This window comes from Homo sapiens, chromosome 16, assembly GCF_000001405.40.
Source record: "Homo sapiens chromosome 16, GRCh38.p14 Primary Assembly".
In the NCBI taxonomy this organism is placed as follows: domain Eukaryota; kingdom Metazoa; phylum Chordata; class Mammalia; order Primates; family Hominidae; genus Homo; species Homo sapiens.
Genome location: NC_000016.10, coordinates 33186335 through 33209646, shown reverse-complemented (window position 1 = coordinate 33209646; position 23312 = coordinate 33186335). Strand labels below are relative to the sequence as shown.

General features: G+C 43.8%; 1 protein-coding gene and 1 long non-coding RNA gene across 8 annotated transcripts; one reads left to right on the top strand and one right to left on the bottom strand.

Annotated features, from left to right (window-relative positions):
• The first annotated feature begins 2298 nt into the window (after nucleotides 1-2298).
• Nucleotides 2299-8262, top strand: LOC124903683 (uncharacterized). Its single transcript, XR_007065054.1, has 3 exons — nucleotides 2299-3641; nucleotides 4490-4953; nucleotides 5158-8262. It is a non-coding gene; the product is annotated as an uncharacterized LOC124903683 (long non-coding RNA).
• A 4526-nt stretch (nucleotides 8263-12788) lies between these two features.
• On the bottom strand, nucleotides 12789-17137 carry TP53TG3C (TP53 target 3C). 7 transcript variants are annotated; one of them, NR_158182.2, is made up of 4 exons: nucleotides 14992-15421; nucleotides 14720-14886; nucleotides 14033-14321; nucleotides 12789-13820 (listed from the first exon to the last, which is right to left on the bottom strand). NR_158182.2 is itself a non-coding variant. In XM_011545920.2 (3 exons), the coding sequence occupies exons 1-2, from the start codon at nucleotides 15351-15353 to the stop codon at nucleotides 14850-14852; spliced, it is 399 nt and encodes a 132-aa protein (XP_011544222.1). In that variant the 5' UTR covers nucleotides 15354-15421; the 3' UTR covers nucleotides 12789-13812; nucleotides 14720-14849. The 7 variants fall into 7 exon arrangements, 4 of the variants coding, with proteins under 4 accessions (XP_011544222.1, XP_016879080.1, NP_001192188.1 ...); NR_158183.2 differs by having other exon boundaries at nucleotides 12789-13812; NR_110914.2 differs by lacking the exon at nucleotides 14720-14886.
• Between the last annotated feature and the right edge of the window lie 6175 nt (nucleotides 17138-23312).

The following is a 23312-nucleotide window of genomic DNA, read 5'->3' as shown; positions in this document are numbered from 1 at the left end:
GCTGCAGAGGTGGGACTTTATGGTTGAGCTCCACCAGATCCGACCCATGCTAAAAAGTCCTGGCTCTGTGCCTGCTACAGCTCCATCTCCATCTACTCTCCAGGGAGATCTCCTTGCCAACTCACATGTCCATGGGGGTGTGGAGTTTCCTGCAGCCAGGATCCCAGTGGTCTGCAGCGAGAGTGAGCAGCCTCCCAGTCCCTTTACTCACTTCTTCCCCAGATGCCACTCAGGGCCAAAAAGCAGTCATAGCGTTCAGGCACCCCATAAGGGCACCCCAGCTTCCTTGCTCTTCAGTCTTAGAAAACGCACCTTTTCTCCATCCACACTATCCATTTTCTCTCCAAATATCTATTCAAACTATGTTGATGTAGTCAAAATTGTGGTCTTTCTCTTTGGGAGCAACACTTGCTGGCTGCATCCAGTAAGCCATCTTGGAAACTCTCTTAAAAGTACTAATGTGGCAATTTCTCCTAAAATTATCTATAAATGCAGTGCAATCCCAATCAAAAGCCCAATAACTTTTTTTAAATGGAAACAGAAACTAACATTCTAAAATTCAAGTGAAATCTCAAGGAACCAAGAATAGTCAAAACGATCGCAAAAAAAAGAGATAAAAATGTTCAGAGCTCTAATTTCATAATGAGAAATTTCCTAACGTCAAAAGTTACTCACAGTCATGTTACTCAAAACAGTGTGGTACTGGGATAGAGACTACAAACAAATGAAATAAAATAGTGTCTCTCAGAGGACACTATCAATAGAGTAACAGGACAACTCTGAATAATAGAACATACTCCATAACAATACTCTAATAATACATCTGGCAAGGTATTAATATAGGGAAAATACAAAGTAAAAAGGTTTGAAAATCTTCAACACTCCTCATGATAAAAACATTAAATAAACTGGAAATAGAAAAGATATTGTAAGACATCTATAAAAACCCCACAGCTAACATCATACTTGATGTTAAAAGACAAAATGCTTTCTACCTAAGATCAGAAATAAGACAAAGATGTCTGTTCTCACGACATCTATTCAACATGGTAAAAAAAAAGCTGTTAGCTAGGAAATTAGGCAAGAACATAAAAGTATTAGTGATTTTAAAGCAAATACACACATAGCACCCAGGCATAAATACAAAAGCAGACTTTTCACTGCACATAAAGGTGGATACACGCAGACAAAGACACGCAAGCTTGTTAACTGTCAGAGTTAGCAGCTGAAACACATAAATAAATGCTCAGAGAGACACCCAGTTTAGACCTCTGCTCTCTTTACCACACTCTCCTCCCACATTAGCAGTAACCACTATCTTACACATTGTTTATTTTACTTGTATTATATATTTATTTTTTCCTAGAATATCAGCTTCAAGTGGGCAGAATTATTTGTTTTGTTTTAGTCATTGCAGCACCTCCTAGAACATCTGCTACACAGGGCAAGATTAATACATAATAAATCACTGGGCTCAAATTCACACAACTATACACAGTGCTTTTCCATGAACCTCATCATAGGCCCATATAAACTTGATTTGCACAAAATGAGTTTTTCTTAACTCGATCTTATGTGGCAGGGTGGTGTCTTCTGAACTCCAAACAAATTCCTAAAGGTTAGCTTACTCAAATGAATTGAAAATGTAAGTCCACACAAAAACCTGCACAAAAAAGTTTACAGCAATATTAATTGTAGTTTTCACAAAACTTGGAAGCAACCAAGATCATGTATTCACCAAGGTCAGAGGTACAAAATTATTATACAAAAATCAATTCTACTTCTATACACTTGCAATGAAATATCTAATAATGCAGTTGAGGCAAAAACAAATCCATTTACAATAGCAATTAAATAATAAATCATAGAAATAAATTTTTAAAAATGTGAAAGGAACTTATAATCTGAAAACTACAAACCTTATCGAAAGAGGTTGAAGATCTAAATAAATGAGAAACCATTCCATGTTTATGAATCAGTAGGTTTAATACATTATGATGACAATAACTCCCCAAACAGTCTACATCCAGTACAATTAGATTCAGTACAATTAGAATTCAAGGTGACTACCATGTAAAAACTGAAGCATTGATGCTGAAATTCATATAAAATTAAAAGGGACTAAGAATATCTTTAAAAATCTTTAAAAAGATGCCAAATAAAAGGACTCACAAATTACAACTTCAAAATTTGCCTCAAAGCAACCTTAATCAAGATGGTGTAGTAACGACACAAGGAAAGTCATTTAGATCAATGAAATACAACTGAGAACCCAGAGAGAGTAAAATCAGCAAAATGTCAAGAATGTACAGCTCCAAACACCTGCTCCTCCACAGAAACAGGGAAAACCAAGCAGAACTGTCAGAAACGATGTTGTAAAACCTGTTGAAAACCATCAAGTTGTACAGCAACCATGTAACTACAAAATCAAGAAAAACAATGAAGAACAGGAGAAAAGCCTCGTGGACTTTTTACACGTCCTTGCCCAAATCCTTCCCTTACTTGATGGCAGTCTTAAAAACAACATCCTGAGTTGCCAGTATGGGCCTCTGCTCAGTGGTTCCAGAGGGAAAAGAGGAGGTCTTACTTGCAAAGTATTGTGTTGTTACATTAAAATCTGTATTAGGGCTATCCAGAGGTCTGAAACAAGGCTCTCTTTTTTCTCTAAGTCAGAAAAAAAAATCAGTTTAAAAAATTGGCACGAGTTACTTGGGAGTATTTTAAGGAAACTGAAAGCCAGCAGCCCCCTGGAGAACAGATTACAGACGACACATACAATAGGTCACATAAAGCCAAGAATAAAAAGCTAACGTGAGATTTTGTTTTGTTTTACAAATTAGGCTATTAAAAAGCACCCAGGTATGCTGGCAAATTGACAAAGCACTCTGTGCATAACCACGAAAAACACATTTTCTTAAAGACCCAAGAAGACCCTCATTTTCAGCACTGGCTGACCTTCAGGCTCAGCTCAGCAGAAAGTGAAGACTGAAGCAAAGTTTTCAACAGTCTGCACATGTGTTAAAGGAACGCCCCAGCCCAGAGCCATCCACAAAAACTGGAAGAATCCGTCAGTTTGTCTTTGTCTCAGTTTTGTCATATAGACCTTTGTGACACACAGATCTATATACAATGGAAACTACAAATTTCTAATGAAAGAGCCATGAAAGATCACAAAAGATCTTAATAAATAGAAAGACATTTAATGTGCATGATCATAAAATCTCAATATTGTCAAGATATAATTTCTCCCCAATTTGAGTTATAGGCAAGAGAGTCACATCATCTAGGTGATTGGCCAAACATATGTCACAATCCCTTCCATTGACAGCTCCCAAAAAAGGAGTTACATCACCTAGGTGCTCAGCTCTGAGATGTGTCACAACATTGCCCAATACAGGCAGGCCACAGGCGGGAGAGTCACATTTCCTGGGTGCTTGGCCCAGTGGTATGTCACATTTCCTTATGTAGGAAGGGCACACGTAGCAAGAGAGAGTCACATTACCTAGGTACTGTGCTAGAGCTATCAGTCTCTGTGTCGTTCAATGTGAGAGTTATGATCTCTTTAGACATCCATGTAACAGAGCCTCAACTCCTTCATCCTCAGATGTAAAGGCTAGTGAAGACCAAATAAGCCTTGAAAGGTAATTCCCCTAAAAAGGCAGAATGTCTTAGGCTTTGGCCTCTCCCCTTCAAGCACAATGAGATCATAACCTCTCTTTTGACTTCTCACTATGCCCAGCACTGGAACAAAGCTCCTGACTCCACACCCTCACCTTTCCACCCTTGTGCCTTCACTGGGCAGACAAGAGATGAGAAGACCTGAACTCTGGGACAGTCTGGGGAGAAAAGAATCCAAAAAGGGTTGAGGCGGCAAGGGCTGAGCTCCCACGGGTGCCCCGGCCCAAAGGTGCAGGTCCAGGCTGTTTTCCAGGTGGCATTCAGTGCAGGTTCTTCAATGCCACTGGAAGGCATGAAAAACCCACTGTAGCTGCTGCTGCTTCCTTTTCTTAAGCTGTGAAAATGCAAACACTTTTTCAAGGTTTTCAGATATGCCCAGGTACCCCCAACTGAAAAGGAGGATAATGGCATTGTTCATCATGGCTTATTGTCTTGCCCAGGCAGGAGCCAGCCCCTGACTCGCCAATCCAGCTGCCCCAGGCTGGAGGTGATCCTTTCGAGCCTCCTCCCTGCAACTCCACTCCTCTTTTTTCTCTTCCTCAACCACCGGCATACTTTTGGTCATCCTCCTTGTTGTCACAATGGGGGCGTGATGCCATAAAGACCTGGGAACCCCAATGATCTCAGGTCCCGCAGGGGTCAGGTGAGCATATAGGAAGTCCAGAAGGACAGTCATCTGCCACCTCCAGTTGAAAAAGAACAAAACCCTCGCACTCCAGAAATGAGTCAAGAACCCAGCGAAGGCCACAGGTCTAGCCCACAACCACCTAGGTATGTGGGGTCCTCCAAGGCTCACGCTTGTGTCCTGCAGGCTGGAGCCCATGCGAGGGTCTGCAGTCTTTGTTCCGGATGGGGAACTACTGCTTCAGCTGGTTACCCAGGTGTCCCCGATGGGGAAAGGAAGGAAATGGTGAGAATCTTCAGCACAACGGATCACATCACCCTGGCAGAGACCAGTCCGGCCTGCGCATGGCACCAGCAGCCGCAGGCTAGAGGCAGTCATGTCAGGCCTCCTCCATACAGCATCTCTCCTGCTTTTTTTTCAAACGGCCCTAATCACTTAATTTGGTCATCTTCCCTGTCACAATGGGGCACCTGGCGCTATAGACACTTGGGAAACACACAGATCTGGGGTCCTACAGTGTCCAGGTGAAGACGCCGGGAGTCAGAGAGGAAAGTCTTTTGAAGCCTCCAAAAGGAATGCACAGGACCCCACTTGAAGAGGTGGAGTGCCCAGTGGCGGATACAGGCCCCACACATCGCAGCAGTAAACAGGTAAGGCGCTCCCTGGCCCATGCCTGTTTCCTGGAAACTGAAGCCATGCCCAGGCTGGGAGTCACCATTCCAGAAACAGAATAAGCTGTTGGGCTGGCTACCTCACCCAGCACCCGGCCACGCCAGAGAGAATCTTGGATGCTGCTTTCCCACAGGCTGTAGTGCCTTCCAAGTTAGGCCACCCTAATAACAGTTCTCCCACAGGGACTCCACGGTGTCCAGCTCTCCAGCCTGGGGTTTCTCATCACCCAGTGATTCCAAAAGAAACGATCTACAATGGCATGACTAAGTTCCAGAAACAAATAAACAAAATACTGAGGGAAGCCCGTTGGTCACTTTGATTCTTCAAAGGTGACAATTGTCCCTCCCTGAAATCTTGTGAGTGCATGAACAGGCTATTCTAATGTAAATGAAATTCACACTAAAACTGATTGAAAGATGATTCTGTTTCCAAGGTACTTTGTATTCTCAAATTGCACCTGCTTACCCTGGCCCCCTCAAAATGGAAGAGTGATGACTATTTGTCTTCGTAGCACTGTGGGGACACAGAGCCTTAAATGGAAGAGTGTCAAAAGCAACATTCCATAAAGGGCTGTCACTTCCAATTTTCAAGCAAGGTTGGAAACCAACCATGATGTATGAAACACTGTTGGCCAAAGTGCACAATTAGTAATACAAAATGAATAATATAAACTATTGTAAATATGTGTGGACATCGTGGCAATTTGGACATCAAAAAACACTGCCAAATTCAGAAAGAGGAAGCTGTAAACTCATGGCTGTTAGGAAGCTTAACTTCTGTGTACTAGAACCTATCAAAATTAAATTTCTCCATGTCAATCCGTCCAAACAAACATTGAGATGTTTATTTCTATATAATTCCTATTGAATCCTACTGGGCAGGACCCTTCTGGCCCCATCCTCACAGCACTGGTGCAGTGAAACTGCACTTGCTCCTGCTTCCCCCTATATTGTTAGGAGTGGAAATATTTAGTAACAGGGTGGATTGGGAGGCTACTGAGGCCTCCTGCGTGGGTGGGTCAGGTCTCCTGCAGCCCAAACCTTTTTACAATAAATAAGTTATAGGTAAAATTAGAAAAAAATTAAAAAATGGAACTCATTCTGTTTCTTTGCTCACCACAAAGAGAAACACAGCATCTAGAGATGTCTGTTGGAGCCAGGCTTGTCCTGGGAAAGTAAGAAGTGCTGAGCAGGAGCCCTGGGGATGGAGGGCAGGTGAGATGGGGCTCCCAGGAAGATGCAGCCAAGCCTGGCTCACTCAGGCTGGCAGGGGCCCTCTGAAGTCCAGGAAAGTTGGTCCAGGACACTGAAACTCAAGTGACTCATCTGGGCCAAAGATCTGACCAGGTCGCACTGAATCTCATCAGCCCTGCCAACTGGAGGTCTGATCAGCCTTGAAGATCTTGCTCACTGGAGGCAGACAGCTGGTGGATGGGTCAGGAGAGCTGCCTACTGCCAATGTAGGAGTGCACTCAGTGTAGGCCCGCTGCCCCACTCAGTGGCCTGGATAACCTGCTGAGGCTGCAGCTTCTTCCAGTTTTTGAGCAATAGGGGCATGCACCATTTCCGAAGGTTTTCAGGCAATCCCTGGTGACCTCTGGCAGGGGGTGGTTATCTTGGCAATCTCCAGCAGGGCCTATGGACTTGCTCCCAGGCAAAACCCAGCAATCCCTGTGCCTACCCAGGCACTAAGCATTTGTGGTGGGGCTTTCTGGAAGCTCGCCTTCTCCTGCTGGCTCTTCGTTTTCCCCACCCCGGTACTTCTGGCCATTCTCCCTGTCATCATCACAATGAGACAGCTGGGTGCTGGAGACTCAGAAACTGCCATGCAGACCTTGAGTCCTTCCCAGGCCCAGCCAACAGGGCAGAGAATCCAGGAGAAAAGTCATTTTCACCTCCTGAAGGACCAGAGCTGACCAGGCACCTAGAAGCTGTGCCCCACTGCAGGCTGCCGGTGGAGCTCATGACAAGGCCGGAACAAGGCCGGAACGTGAAGCACTCCCTTGTCTGTCCTTTTTTCCTGAAGGCTGGGGCTTGCCCGGCCAATGTCACCCTTCAGGACAGGGAATCAGAGCTTTGCATGGCTGCCTTACCCCACCAGGGCAACGCCACAGAGAATCATGGCTGAGGCTTTCCTGTGGGCTGCAGTGCCTGACCCTTTAGGGTCCCCACAAAAACACCTTTCCTGCAAATAATCCACCGTGTCCTGCTTGCCAGCCTAGGCTTCCTCATCAGTTGGTGATTTCAATGAAAACAAACTACAGTGGAATGAACAAGTTCTAAATCAGGAACACACAAAGAATCTGTGGAAAGTCCATTTGTCATCTAGATTTTTAAAAGATACACATTTTCCCTTCTTGTTATATTCAGTAGTGCATGAAGCCAATATTATAATAGATGTGCAACTCACACTAAAGCTGACTAAAGGGTGAATTCTTATTCTAAGGTACTTTGTGGTCTCAAATTTATCTGTTCCCACCCCCAGGACCCCATTAAAACTGAATAATTGTCATTGAGAGCAGATGTAGAAAGAAACTAGCTAGGCAGATAGAGCAAAGAGTTCTCAACAGAACGTCCCTTCTAACAGAAAGCAACCCAGGAATTCACTTCTCTTTAACAAAGAGCAGCCTGGAAAATTGGGCTGCAATCATACAAAAGGAAGCTGGAAGCTTGTGTGGGCAGGGATGCCTGCAGCTGCATGGGTAGAAATGACCACCTTGGGCCAGACATATCCAACATGGGGGGCCCCACCCCTCTTTGTAGCATATGCACAGTAGAAAAGAGATAAGCAACTTGGAGTAGCTCAGGCTGAGAATCTGCCTGCATAATAAAAGGTTGGGGTGTGAGCTGCCAGAGATTCATGCTCTAAGCAGATGACACACCTGGTCCTAACCACTTTTTCATGCCCTATGTGGATAACATACCCCCTCCCACTAGCTCATCTATAAAAACACTTGTATTTCACTGCAGAATGGCAACTCTTTTTTTCTGGATCCCTCTCTGCAGCAGAGAGCTGTTCTCTTTTTCTCACCCATTAAACTTTTGCTCTAACCTCACCTTTGGCATATCTGTGTCCTTGGTTTCCTCGGTCCTGACACCAAGAAGTTCAGGTGTAACCCCAGAAGACACGGCCAGTTTATCATGACTTGTCTCATTGCCTCTTGGGACATAGAAACGTCAATGAAAATGTGTCCAAAAGGACATTTCATAAAGTGCTCTCTCTTCCAATCTTCAAGCAATGTGGGACTATCCATCATGTATAAAAAACTTGTGGCTGAAATGCACAATTTCTAATACAAAAATGAATGCTATAAATTACTCTATGTATGTGTATTATGGCCATTCAGACATCGTCACACATTGCCACATTTAGATAGAAGAACCTGTGAACTTGTGGCTGTTAGGAAGCTTAACTTGTGCATACTGTCACCTATGAAAGTTAGTTTTCCCTGCGTTTCTTGAAACCAACCTTGAAATGTCCATCTTGTACACAATTTCTATTTATCCCCAGTGAGGTTCACCCATCTGGCCCCGCCCTTACAGCCCTGGTACCAATGGAATTGCACTTGCTTATGCTTCTTCAAATTTTCTTGAGGTCATAAACATTTAGTGACAGAGTGGAATGAGAAGGTACTGAAGCAAGGGCTGATGCCTTCTGGGTAGATGGGTAGAGATCTCCTGCAGCCTGGACATCTTCAAAATAAGTAGGTTATAGGTCAATTTAGAGAAAAAAATAATACTCTTTCTTTGAACACCACAAAGAGAAAAGCGCTGGATCTAGATGTGTCTGTGAAGCCAGGCTTGTCCTGGGAAAGTGAGAAGAGCTGAGCAGGAGCCCTGGCAATGGAGGGTGGGTGAGATGTGGTCCCCACGGAGAGACCGCTAGGGTCAGGGCTTGGTACAGTGAGGCTGGCAGGGACCTTCGGAAGGCAAGGGAAGATGGCCAAGGACACAAGGCTGAAGCAACCCATCTGAGCCAAAGATCTGTTTAGGTCCTTCTGAATCTCAGCAGCCTTGCCAAGGAAGGCATGATTACCCATGGGTATCAGAGACACTGGAGGCTGGCAGCTGGCGGGTGGGCCAGGAGGCCTGACTACTGCACAGGTGTGATTTCACTGGCAGGCCAACTGCAGGGAGTGGATAAAGAGAGAGCTCTGTGTGGGAATCTCTCTCGGTGGATCATCGAAGAGGTGAAGTCTTCTTCATAGCCTCAAACCCAATTTGTGGGATAGCAATTCCAGTGAAGCTGGGACAAGCTGGCACTGCTCAACCAGGCCTCCCAAGATACCAGGTTTCTTTCCACCACAGCTGGGCCTGGATTGGGATGTGAACATCTATCCCAGAGTCCAGAGGATGGGACCCTGGTCAGTGATGGTGCTGGTGTGTGGTGTGAAGCCAGGTAGGGCAGACTCTTCAGGTGGGAGGAGAAGACAGCCTCTCCTGTGGGCTCCTGGGCAAGTCAACACCCTCTTTGGGCCTGTCTCCTCAACTGGAAAATGCAGAAAGCCTGTTGTGCAGGCCTCACAGGGTCATGATAAGGGGCAAAGGATGAAGGAAACTTCAGAATTCTTGTGCCCACCTCTTCCTGAGAGGGATGATGGTGAGAACAATGGTGATAGCCACATGCAACTGAGTCCTCAGGAGGTACTGTGAGGAAGGTGTTGTTCTCATCACACTTCCTAGATGAAAAAACAGTTTCAGGAAGGCCTGGCTGCATGCCCAAGGTTACACACACAGTGAGTGTTAAAGCTGGGAGTAAATCTAGAATCAGGACTCACTGGAGCTGGTGGGAGCATTACACCGGCTGACTCAGGCAGTTATCCAAGATCTGAGGTCGCTGGGGCTGGAGTGTAACTGTGAGACAGGCACAGTCTCACTGACCCTGTTTCTGACTCTACTAGGTAGGAACCTTTTTAAAGAGTCCAGATGGGGCTGCAGCAGCAGGTGAATTGGCCTATGGTAGGGAGGGGCTCCAGAGAGTCAAGGACAGGGCTCCTCCCTCCCAGCTGGAGTTCTCCACATCAAGAGACCTGGGTGTCTTCCTCCTCCAGCCCTGCCCTCCTGTGGCCACAATGCTTGGAATGCCTTCATTAGAGAGACTAGAGAAAGGGCCTGGGAGAGCTAGGCTCAGAGTAGATTAGACGAAGAGTGAGGGTGGGGACGATCTGACTTTGTGATTTATTAAAATCACACCATAGAGGTAACTAAGAAGTGCTTAGCGTCTTTGGAGGTCAGCTGTGGAAAGAGGAGGGAAAGATTTTGGGCAAGGAGGTGAAAGGTCCTTGGATGCTCTGAGTGAGAGACTTGGGTACGGGGGTCAAGGAGAAATAGGTTGGTGAGAGTTCAAAGGAGAGGTCTTGTGCAGTTAGCTGAGAATTGGTGCTCATCACTGCTACCACCTTGATAACACAGGCTGCTGTGCCCCCACTCCCCTCCCCCCCCACCCCCCACCCCGGGCACACTTCTCAACAACCTGCAGATGCTGGAAATTGCCATAGAGGATTATAGAGATGTGAGTGAGACTGGGGCAGGCAGGCAGGGTGGGGACCAGGATCCTGAAGCTTGCGAGGACAGAGTCCTGGACTGAATCCTGAGACTGCAGCACTCAGCAAACCCCTTTCCTGAGAGCCTACCAGATGCCCCTGTAAATGGCAGTGTCAGTTCCGTCTTATCTATGAGTGACGGAGCCTCCAGCAAAGACACCATTTCCTGTTCCTTGAGTAGTAAAGCTGCAGAGCTAAGTCTCAGCCTCTGCCTTAGCTGGTACCCATTGCAGAAGAGAGAAATTGGGCCCCTCCTAAGACAGGCAGGTCCTAAATTGTTGAGTAACTTCTTTGTTTCCAAGGCCTTTGTCTCCCTATCATCACAGAGAATCAGGGAGAAAGGTCACTGAGCCTCAGTGTCCCTTCTGTGGAGCCCAGAACCTGATGCAGGTCTAAGTCCTGTTTTATGCACATGCTCTGACCCTGGTGGCCCTGGTGGTGGTGCAGCATAGGAAGTATAAGGGATGAGGTCTAGTCCTGTGTCAGGAAGCCTTTCTCATGAATCTTGGCTGTCTACCTCCTAAGAACATATAATCAACACTAATAAAGGAAGAAGGTGAGCAGCTGGCGCTGTCGCTTTGAGGGAGGGTGGGGATGTGAAAGTCAGACACCACCCTGAGGAAGACACTCCTTGGCTCCATCCTCTGCATCTTAGATTTATTGGGAAGGTTTGATACACAGAGAAGCAGGAGCCCCATCCCAATGGAGGGTTTGATTAGGGGAATAGAATCAATGATAAACTCCTAGAGGAGGGACTGTTTATATCCAACTCTTGAGAACAGGTTGGGGCTACATGGGATTGGAGGGGAGGGTAGGACCCCTTAAAAGAAAGGCCCTAGAAATTGTCCCTACCCCTTCACACCCCCACAAGTTCCCTTTGTCATCTTCCACCCAGGACCTGTCAGAATCCTGCCCTTCCTTCTGTCTCCAGATCAAAGTCCTCCAGGAAATGCAGCTGCTTCAGTGACAAGAGATAATCGTCATCTTCTGACTGAGGAGGAATTTGGGGTTTGGTTCCAGTGCATGAAGCTGCACAGTCAGAATAAAAGATGAGGGCCTAGCAGATTAGCAAAGACTAGGAGAAGACTCTATCTTGTGGCCAGCTTCAGAGAACCTGGGGCCATAGCTCCCTGGTCAACATTAGGCCTGCTGCATGGGGACCCTGGGCAGGCAGTGGGAAGCCTGAGGTGTGGCTCCTGGTAGCCTCACAGCTGCCACTATTTTCTGAAGCTCCTCCTACTTGTTTTGTCAGACGGGCCCCTATTCCAGCAGGCCAGCAACACCCTCAAGACCAAGAACAGGCCATGGTGAATCTCAGGGCCATTGAGTGCCTGGGCTGGCAGGGGCAGAGTGCCTCAGGGCTCAGTGACATTTGGCCTGAGTGTTGGCTTTGGGAGTCAGACAGCTGCACTGGGCTCCCAGCTTCACCATGACCAGTAATGTGTCTGGGGCCGGGGCCTCACTGCTCTAAAACTTGAGACACCATAGTGATAAATTTTACACACCCTTCTAACTGCTTTTTCTTTTTTATCTGTCTTTCTCTATAATCACCATGTACTACTGATCTCTGTTTATTTAAATTAATAAGCATGTTATACAGTGTGTATTATTCTTCCTCGTGACTTCTTTACTACATTGTATGATTCCACTCATATGAGGTACTTACAGTAGTTCCATTCATAGAAACTCAAAGTAGAAGAGTAGTTCCTAGAGGCCAAAAGGAAGGTAACGGGAACAGAGTTTGAGTTTTGCAAAATGAACAAATTTCCCTATGAATGTGGATGATGGTTGTAGAACAATGTGAGTATGATTAATTCCTCTGTCCTGCACTTTTAAAAATTGTTAAAATGGTTAATTTTATGTATATTTTACCACAATGTAAAAAAGGACTTTTTTAAATGAACAAACTGTAGATATCTGTAACAGCATAAATATCACAAATATAATATTGCATTAAAAAATTGATGTAAAAGTATCCATACTGTGTAATTTTTTATATTACACTCAAAAATCAAAACTGAGGTTCTGGCTTCCACTAATGATGAAGTAGCTAACTGAACTAACACTCTCACACAGAAAAATGATGAATCCTGGGTAAATTATTATATATCATTATAGAAACATTTCTATATACAATACATACATGAAATATGTGTATATAAAAACTGAATGCATATTTTGGCTATGACTTCCATAGGAGAGATAAGTATTGAAGATAGAATCCAGCCCATTTAACACCATCTTTTAAAAACAACACTCTTCACAGGGACAAAACAGAATCCAGTCTTTTTAATCCAGTCTTGTATACAGTCTCCAGGGCACAATTTCCAATTCAAGGGATGCGTGAAGACACGTGAAAATGTAATAAATACACAAGATAAAAAGCAGGCAGTAGCCATCTCCAAGATGTCCAAGATGTAAACGGCAGACAAGAATTTGAAGGCAGCTATTATAAACACGCTCATGAGGGCAAAGGAAAATATTCTCATAAATGAATAGATGTGAAACATCAGCAGAGAAAAAATAGCCATATAAAAAATGAGAAATAAAAATAATAATTTTGAGCTTTTCTATAGTTCAGAAACAGAGACATAGCAATATAATTTATCCAATCTGAGGAGAGGAAAAAAAAAAGAAGTTTAAAGAAAATGAACAGAGCCTTACAGACCTGTGGGATGACTGAGTCTGAGAAAAGGTGAGAGATAGAAAAAATCAAATGGAGTATAAAAGTAAATCAACAAAATTTAAAGAAAATAAACACAGCCTTAGAGACCCATGGAATTATTGAGCCTGAGGAGAGAGACAGAAGAATTAGATGGGTTGGAAAAATAAATCAATAACTAACAGCTGCAAACTTGCAAAAATTGTTCAAAAACCTATTTTTTTTTTTTTAATCTAAAGATCCACGAATCCCCCACAAAAGTACAAATAAAACCATACCAAGGCCATATTGCAATTTAGGAAAGCAGCAGGCAGGACTTTCAATTGACTTGATATGATTTATCATTTTTACTATTTGTAAGAATGGAAATAAGTTCTTAGAGTTTTGGTCTTGGAGAAAGTCTGACGTTAAGGACAAACGACAGTTATTAAAGGCAGATGACTTTCCAGACTTGTCTTAAATGTTCCATTCTTCACCTTAGAACTTATTTAAATTTGTTTCTTCCAAATACTGCAGTAATATTGATGCTCCAGAGAGATGTCCCACGGAGATTCTGCTCTTGTGCGTCTGCCCTGCACGGAGCTGAGGCAGTGTCTATCAGTTTCAGAAGCGAGTAGTCGTGCAGTACTTAACCTGAAAAACTTAATGGAAACATGAATTAAGAGAATGATCACTGTTTAGTTCTATCAGAAAACTATTAAAAGTGGTCCAAGGGGGTATTTAAAAAGAGATATTAAAGTATTTTCCAAGGGAGCCCTATTCAGGGTAGAAGCGCAGACACTATCCCTGACCTCACCACACAAACTACCCTCATGTGTTGGGAGGGACCAAGGGGCGCTCTGGTCCTGCTGACCTGCATTAATCACGGCCCGGAGGTCCACACTAAGACCCTGAGGCCTGGGAAGCAGCCTGGGTGGGGTCAGAGAAGCGGTGGATGAGGCTCCACAGCAGCTCCCAGGGTCCCATCCCCGTAGCTGTTTCCTTAGTGGATGCAGCAGGGTCAGGCCCTTCCGCTGTGACGTTTTCTCCTCTTTATTACACTGGTGGGAAAGTCTCCGTGAGAGGCCCGACCTAGATATGGACCACGCAGCGAGCCCGGGGGTCCAAGCGGCGCTCCTGGGGTGCAGAGGATTTGTGACAGCCTAGAGAACAGAGGAAATGGTTTTGAAAAGGCAAATGGCAGGTGACTAGGGACACGATGTTTTCACTTCTGGCAGTCAAGTGACAGTTTCAGACACTCATGAACGGGCTTCTCGAGGGGATCCCAAGGAGCCTCCAGGTCGGCCGCCATTACCCTACACCTAGGGACGGGCTGCACTGCGCATTTCCGAAAGGGCAGGCCCCTTAGCCCCACCCCTAGGAATGGGTGCACTGCGCATGTGTGAAAGGGCAGGACTTTTATCCCGCCGCTAGGGACGGGCTACACTACCCATGTCTGAACGGGTGTGACAAGAGGGAGGAGCGAGAAGGGACGGGGCGGAGCGGGAGATGGGCAAGAATAGGGGCGCGGTGCGGCCAACGTCCGGCGGAGGATCGTTACCACGGCAACGCTGCTGTGGAGGCCATGAAAGGCGAACGGCCCTTTGTTGGCTGACAGGAAATCGAGACACTCGTGAGGGGGCTTCTTGAGGCGATCCCAAGAGGCCTGAGAACTGCCACATCCGCGGCCCTTAACCCAGCCCTAGGGACGGGCCGCACTGCGCATGTCTGAAAGGGAGTGACAAGAGGAGGAGCGAAGGAGGGTGGGGCTGAGGAGGAGGCGGGGTGAGAAAAGGGGCGGGTCGCGCCCCACCCTTGTCTGAGGAGCGTTACCTTGACAACCCTGCCGCGGAGGCAGTGAGAGGCCACCGGCCCTTTGTTGATCTGCAAGGTATCAAACTTCGAACATGACAAGCATAAAAGCCTGCAGCTCGAGGAGACAGGGTGTCACAATTACCAGGTGAAACTAGCCGCCCTAGCTCCAATGTCTCTTCAGCAGGAGAGATTTGGAAACAGCAAGGCTCCTCTCCGCAGGGCGAAACTGCTGGGCTGCGAAAGGCGGGACAGGGAGCGGAACCGTCTTCAACCGTTCCGGGAGTTCTGGTGTCTGGTCCGCTCCCGGCTGTTGGTCGCAGGGCAGAGGGTCTAGGATGCCAGCTGGCTGCGGGCTGGGAGATGCAGGGTGAGGCGCGCATCGCGGTGCATACTGGGAGTTGTAGTCTCTCCACCGTTCCCCACGGTGGATGGTGGGGCTACAGGAGGACAATCCCAGATTGAGACAGGAGCGGAGGCGGGGCGCGGCCGTGCAGGGAGGGGGAGGGCGGTGTAGGCGGCTTCGTTTACCAAGCTTGCTGGCCATTGATTTCATGCCAAACCCTCGCCAAGGGGATTAAATCAGGAGAGGAACTTGAAGGGCAGGCCTGGTCTCGCCAGTGAGGAGGATGTGTTGTTGGGAAGTGCACCCCGCCTTTGCCTAAATCGAGAGTGTCTGGTCCTCACTCACGCGACTTCGACTTCCAGCTGCTCAGCTCGATTTTCTTTCCCACTCGCACCCGAGTTCTTTCCAGAGCGTCCCACCTCCTCCAGCCCATGGAGCCGTCTGCTTTCATAAGTGGCTGTGGAAACTGGTCTGAGGTCCCAGACGCTGTCACTGTGCTGCTGCCCTCCGCTCTCTCCAAGCAAAGCACAAGCTGAGCCGCCTTGGAAAGACAACCACGGCCTGGCCTGGGAATGCGCAAGTTCAGAGCTTTGCAGGGAGTGACCATGGGCTGTGGCTTCGTGAAAATGTCACGTTCACCAGTACCCTTTTTGCGGATGTGGCCGTGGAGCCATGAGGGGGGTAATCACTGGGTTACAAAGGTGCTGCTAAGAGCGGAGGAGAAAAACCCAATTCCCAGCCATGTGTCTGGTATGACATTTCACCAACCCATTTAAGTGTGCAGGCCTCCAAATATCTACCTAAAGATTATGATAGATTAGGCATTTTACACTAAAAATCTGTGGCTTCGTGTCCACTAAAGCCTGACTGGCCAGTGCCTAAAAGAAACAGACGATAACCTGATCCCTCAGGAACAGATGGTGTTCTAGCTTTGTGGAAGTGAATTTCAAGGTATGGAGCACTTGAGGGGTCTTTGAAACCTGCCAGGTCTCACATCTCTGCTTTTGGTGAAAAGCTCATCAACTAACAGTAGTCAGGAATGTGCCTTTACTTCCTGGGGCTGGTCTGTTGAAATTTTGTGTGTGGACAATGGAAACATCCAGGAGCATTTCTGCTTTCCTATAGCCTCTTAATAATTGATGCCCTAAAGTCCTATATCCTTTGATTCCTGGATGGTACAGATTTCATGCTGTTAAATCTAATCTGCAAAAACCTGAGCGTTAATCTCCATGAATAGAAGAACTTGTTGTTTCTTATTTAAATGCTCTTTTTTCTCTTGTCTTAGATTCTGAGCAGGATTTCCAATACGGTGTTGAAAGAAGTAGTGAGAGTGGGCATCTTTTTCTTATAATAAATCTTAAAAACAATTCCAAAATTTCACCATTGACAATAATGTTAACCATGGGATTGTCCTATAGCTTATAAAGAACATATCTCTTTATTTTGAGGTATATTCTTTCTATACCTAATTTGTTATAGATTTTATTTGGAATGGATTTTAAATTTTGTCAAAATAATTTTAGGCATGCATAAAAAAGTCATGATTTTTAATCTTTTTGTTGTGTAAATAAGGAGTATGGCATTTATTGATTTCCACATATTAAAATATTATTGCATCCCAGGAATAAATCCAACTTGATCATAATAAATGATCCTTTTAAAGTGCTTTTGAATTTCATTTGCAACTACGTTGCGGATGATTTTTCATCTATGTTCATCAGGGATATTGGCCTGTAATTGTTTTTCTTGTAATGTCCATCTCTGGTTTTTGTATCAGTGTAATGCTGGCTTCATAAAATGAGTTTGGAAGTATTCCTCCTCCTTCAATTTTTTCAAAGATTTGGTTCTTTTTAAATGTTTAGTAAAATTCAGCAACAAAGTCATCAGATCTAAACTCCTTACCCATTACTGATCTATTCATATTTTCTATTTCTTTATGCTTCAGTCTTGGTGGGTGGTACTTGTCTAGAAATGTATTCATGTCTTCTCCCTTATCCCATTTGGTGGGATATCATTGTACATAGGAGTCTGTGTACATAGCAGTCTTATGACCTTTTTTTATTTCTGTTTTACCAGTTGTAATGTATTCCCTTTAATTCTGATTTTATTTATTTAAGCATTTATTTCTTAGTCTAGCTAAAGATATGCCAACTTCATGTTTTCATAAAACAAGCTCTTACAATTTTTCTACATTTTCTATTGTTTTTCTAATCTTCAGTGTATTCATTTCTGCTCCGATTTTTTTTACTAATTTTATTATCTGGGAACGTTGGGATAAGTTCTTCCTCCTCTAGTTTCTTGAGTTGTGTCATTATTTGTTTATTTGTGATCTGTTTTCTCTTTGGTTGAAGGTGTTTACTGCCACTCCATTTCACTGGGATTAGCACCCATATGCATTGTGGTCTTTTTGTTTGAGTTCATCAAACTTCTGATCCTAAGTCTGCACCTTTAGCATACTGGTAAGCAGCAGTGCTAAAAGCCTACACGATGAGTAGGGGATTTAGGATGAGAGAATTACCCAGTAAGTTTTGGGAGGGACTAATATTAAGTTATCTTTCTCTTTTTTATTTCTCATCAGTGCCTGAACCATAAGGCACAAGGAATGAGCCCCTCATCGTGAGAGTGCATGTGACAGGAGCAAAGGAAGCGGCAGCTCAGGAAAGACAAGGTCACTGTTCTTGCTCCCATGACGGTAGCACTTGTTAGAGCAACTGAGTGACGTGCATAATTCTCTCCAAAGTAAAAGTCCTTTTTGTTTTTTGCAATTTTACAAAAAACCGTCCCTGGGCCTTTCCTGAGAGTGTGCAATAATAAGCAATGTTCATATGACTACCCGGGCATTTAGTAATGGTAAGCAGACCAGATGAAGTGACCACAGGGATATAGCCTGACTCTTGGTAATCAGGACTGAAGTACTCACTGATTAAGGTTCTGTGTTTTCACTGCCTTGAAAGGCAAGTGTCTTGCAAGCTGCATGCCAAACAAAGGCTAAATATGATGACACATCAGGCTGCAGCAGAGTCAACTGACCATATATGTCTAGGTGATGAGTGTGCTTTAATGTGGTCAGGGAAGGCAACTCATGATAAAGGCCACAAATGGCTATTTAGACCAAAGCAAAAGCCCACCAGAAACTGGTGGCTCTGACTGAGGTGACTTTTAATGTATCATGAAATCAGTAGGCCAAAAGCAGTTAAAGTTGAGCCGATGTCCTTAGTCATAGTTGGTTAATCCAGTTTGTATTGTGAATTGTTTGATTAGCCTCCCCTTTACCCCATTGGTGAGGGATAAATTACCACCCTTGTACTACTGGAACAGTTAAAACCATGGCACCAATCATTGGACAAATGAGATTGACAGCAGTTATTCGTTACATATAATCATGGAAGAAGGAAATTATATAAGGTATACAGACCCACACAGGGATTGCACTTGGGAGCAGAGAGAACAAACAGGGGGTGTTGGGGAAGGCTTTGTAGTATCAAGAGGGTGAGATGCACCTGGTTCCCACAGGAAGTTGTTATTGGTTGGTCTGGATAATTCTGTGACCTTGGGAGAAACTGAAACACATTATACTACCAATTGCTAAGACTACAATAACATACTATAATAGTGTAATGCTATAATGTACCATATACTGTAATACTAATGACAGTATGTTCTCCCTTTTTTGATAGATTCTCAGAAACTGTGACTTTAAGTAAAACAATGTACTATATAATAAAACCAATTTTACCATTGGCTAATTGATATAAACAAGAGTTAATTTTCCATGGCATATAGTATTTTGTTTCACTTAAAGTCAGTTTCCAGGGACCTATCAATGATGTTAAGTGAGCACTTACTGAACATGTATTTTAGTGATGTGTAATAGAAAGTAGCTATAAAAAATATACTATTCATGTACAAAACTACATGTGGCACACATTACAGTCATGAACCACATAACAATGTTTGAGAAATTGACAGACTATATATATGAGGGTGTTTTCTTGTGAGTATATATATATATATAAACCTACCTTTAAAGGCCAAAGGAGCTGAGAGTTTGAAGAATGAGGCTGACAAATCAAGTTTCTCAGAAAGAAACATTTAAGAGGAACATTTATTAATAGAAGCTATGTCTCAGATAGCTGAAGATGGTGGAACCTCACACTGTGACCCCCTAAACCCAGACACTTATCACAGGAAAGGGAATGTGAAGGACAATTGAAATCACTATATAAATTTGCCTAAGGGTAGGATTTGTGCTAAGTACCTGTTCACAATAGCATCAGGGTTGTTTTGATTTAAGGGTAGGGCTTATAGAACTGTAGGTTTCAATATATGACATAGGTATTTGAAACCCTCACCAAAAAACATTAGAGGAAGTAACTCTGTCATCATTTTAAGTTTCTTTTTTTTTTTTTTAGTAATTTAAAATCTTAAAGTCTGGTTATGTTAAATTAAGTAATCTTAAGTTTCTCACTAAAAATTAGTATTGCTAAGCATTAAAAGAATAGTTTTAAGACAGTTTTTACCCCAGCACTAGTGATTGGATAATACGGCCCCAGGCCCCACCCCTTCAGGTTCTGAATGAGAGAAGATGTGAGCCAACTCGTAGCCAGATGACAACAGGGTAAAATGTTCCAAGCCGCAGCCTTTTTCAGGCAGGACTTCCTCCTTATGCTGAAGCCCGGCCTTCACTGTGGGATATTTGCATTTAACCTTGTATATAAGGTTATTTTTATTTATAAGTTGTATATATGTGGCCAGGCATAGTGGATCTCACCTTTAATACCAGCACTTTGGTAGGCTGAGGGGACAGAAGCTCTTGAATCCAGGCGTTTGGGACCAGCCTGGGCAACAGAATGTGAGGGCCCCACATCAAAACTTTTCTACAAAAAAATGAAAAAATTAGCCAGGCATGGTCACACGTGTCTGTGGTCCCAGCTACTTGGGAGGCAGAGGTGGGAGGGTCACTTAAGCCTGGGAGGTAGAGGCTGCAGTGAGCTGAGATCAGGCCACTGCACTGCAGCCTGGGTGACAGAACAAGATTCTCTCTTTCTTTCTCTGCCTTATTTGTGTGTGTGTGAAGGGGGAGGGGTGTGTGTGTGTATTATTCAAAATAGAAACAAAATAATAACAATTATTTTTATTTTTATTTACATTTTTTTGAGACAGAGTCTCACTCTGTCACCCAGGCTCGAGTACAGTGATGAGATATTGGCTCACTGCAACCTCCGCCTGCCAGGTTCAAGTGATTCTTCTGCCTCACCCTCCCAGGTAGCTGGGATACAGGCACCCACCATGTTGCCCAGCTAATTTTTGTAGTTTTAGTAGAGACATGGTTTCACCATGTTGACCAGGCTGGTTTCGAACCGAGGTCAAGTGATCCGCCTGCCTCGGCCTCCCAAAGTGCTAGCATAACAGGCATGAGCCACCATGCCCAACCAATTACAATTATTTTTAATTTTTAGATTTTACAATCTTTCTGGCCTCTTGGCTTTTGAGGCAAACTGAGCTTTGAAATTAGGCAATCCTCTATTGCACCAATGTGCAATAGAAGTAAAATGTGAGCCACATGTGACAATTAGAATTTGCTAGTAGCAGCATAAAGAAAAAGAAAAATGAGTGAAATTGATGTTAACAACATAGCTCAATATATCTGAAATATTTTAACATATAATCAGAATGAAATAATTAAAGAAACATATATATGTGTACATATATACGTACACACACATAGACATATGTTTCTTTAACCCAGCATTATATATTTTTATGCACATATGTATATGTAACTAAATATTTAAATATTTTCTTGTATTTCTCCCCAGCATATCTTAGTTCATGCTGGGCACAATACAGTTGTTCAGTAGCCCCTGTGCCCAGTGGCTGCCACATTGCAAGTGCATCTCTGAGGGCTCTGACTTTTCTGACCTTAGGGAGGTTAAAGGGCCTGAATCCTCCTTTTCTGCCAGATAGGAGTGAATGCCCCTTCTCTGCCAATATCACTCCTGTTTAAAGGATAAGAGAGGTGGTGCCCTGAGAGACAGTAGGGCCTACAAGAAACAAGTGTTCACAGGTGGAACACTGCTGTCCACTTTTGCTTGGTGTGGACTCATCAAACCTCCAGAGATCATACAGCAGTCCAAAAAGTGGGGCCCCAGAAGAGGGAAACCTCATGTTTTTAGATCTGTCCATAGGCTTGATCTGATGTGGAGAGACTAGATTAAAGGCAAACTTTTTATCTTGCAACTTGGCCTTGGCAAATTAAATAGAAATATGTCACTATAAAAATCAATTAAATAAAAAGGAAGGCAGTAAGAGCAGAAAAGAGGAGAAAATACCTACAAGAAACAAATAGAACTATTAACAAAATGGAAGTAGTCCATTCTTTTCACAATTAAAATGAATATATACATAGAGTAAAATTTCCAACAGAAATGTGTAAATTGGCTAAAGAGATTGAAAGAAAAAACGATTTGTTTTCTGCTGTCTATAAGAAACTCACTTTAGATCTAAGCACACAGATAGGCTAAAAGTGCAAGTATGAAAAATATCTTCTAGGAAGATTGCAATCAAATGAGAGCAAGAGGGGTCATAATTATGCAAAATACACATTAAGTCAAAACTGAATTAAAGGACAAATAAAGATAGTATATAATGATACAAGTGTTGATTCACTGGGGAAGCTGTGTTAATAATAAATATATGTACACTTCACATCGGGGTTTCCAAATGTATAAAGCTAAGATCGACCCAGATGAAGAAAGAAATAGCTATGCAAAAATAGTAAGAGACATAATTATCCGACTATCAGTAGCAAACTCTGTAAACCGAACAGACATATAGAAAACACTCATCACAGTGAATAGATTCAGGAAGCTGAAGGCCCATGGGACATGACCAACTCAGCATTCCACTGGAGGCTATATGATCAAACAGCAAACTGTTTATCATGAATGCAGGATGTGGGCAAACTCACACTGCCCTGCCACCAAAAGGTTTGCTGAGGGCCTCATTCCCTGGCACCAGGCTCCTTGAAGTTATCTACTGAGAAATCCAGTGCCTATTGTTCTAAGAATGCAGTCTCTCGAGTCAGCTGTGAATCAAGCTGCTGGTGGAAAACCACCCCCGCCTTCTCACTATCTCTTTTACCTAATAAATATGGAGGGCTGTGTAAAGCTCAGGTACCTTGTCCACTAGAGGCAAGGTGCCCCTGACCCCTTTTTCCAAATATACCCCTTTGTCTCTTGTCTTTTATTCCTGCATTCACCCTGCTTTGTTCAGTCCAATAGGTCTGTGTAGGCTACAAATAGAAGTGAAAAAAAAGAAAAAAAAAAACACTTCACACAACAATATCAGAATACACACTTTTTCCAATAGGTCATGAAACATTCTCCTGAGTAGATAACCTACTAGGACACAAAACAAGTTTTACCAAATTTTAAAATGTTAAAATATGGGCTAGGCATTGTGGCTCATTCTTATAATTCCAGCATTTTGGGAGGCTGAGGTGGGAGGATTAGTGAGTTTAGGAGTTCGGCGCCAGCCTGGGCAACATAAAGAGACCCTCTCTTTAGAAAATATAAAATTTAAAAATTAGCTGGGCATAATGGCACATGCCTGTGCGTCCAGCTACTCAGGAGGCTGACGGGGGAGGATTGCTTGAGCCTGGGAGATCGAGGCTCTGGTTAGCCATGATTGAGCCGCTGTGCTCCAGCCTGAGCAACAGAGCAAAACTCTGTTTCAAAAAAAAGATTAAAATATTACAATCATTTTTTATTACAAGGGAATAAAATTAGAAATCAATAGCAGAAGAAATATGGAAAATCTACAAATATGTGGAAATTAAACAACGCACTCTTCTGCATGCTCTCGTTCAAGGGTTGGAAGACAATATTGTGAAGATGTCCACACTACCCAAAATGATCTACAGATTCAATGAGATCTCTATCAAATTTTAACTGTCATTTCACTTGGCAGAAATACAAAAAACATTTCTAAAACT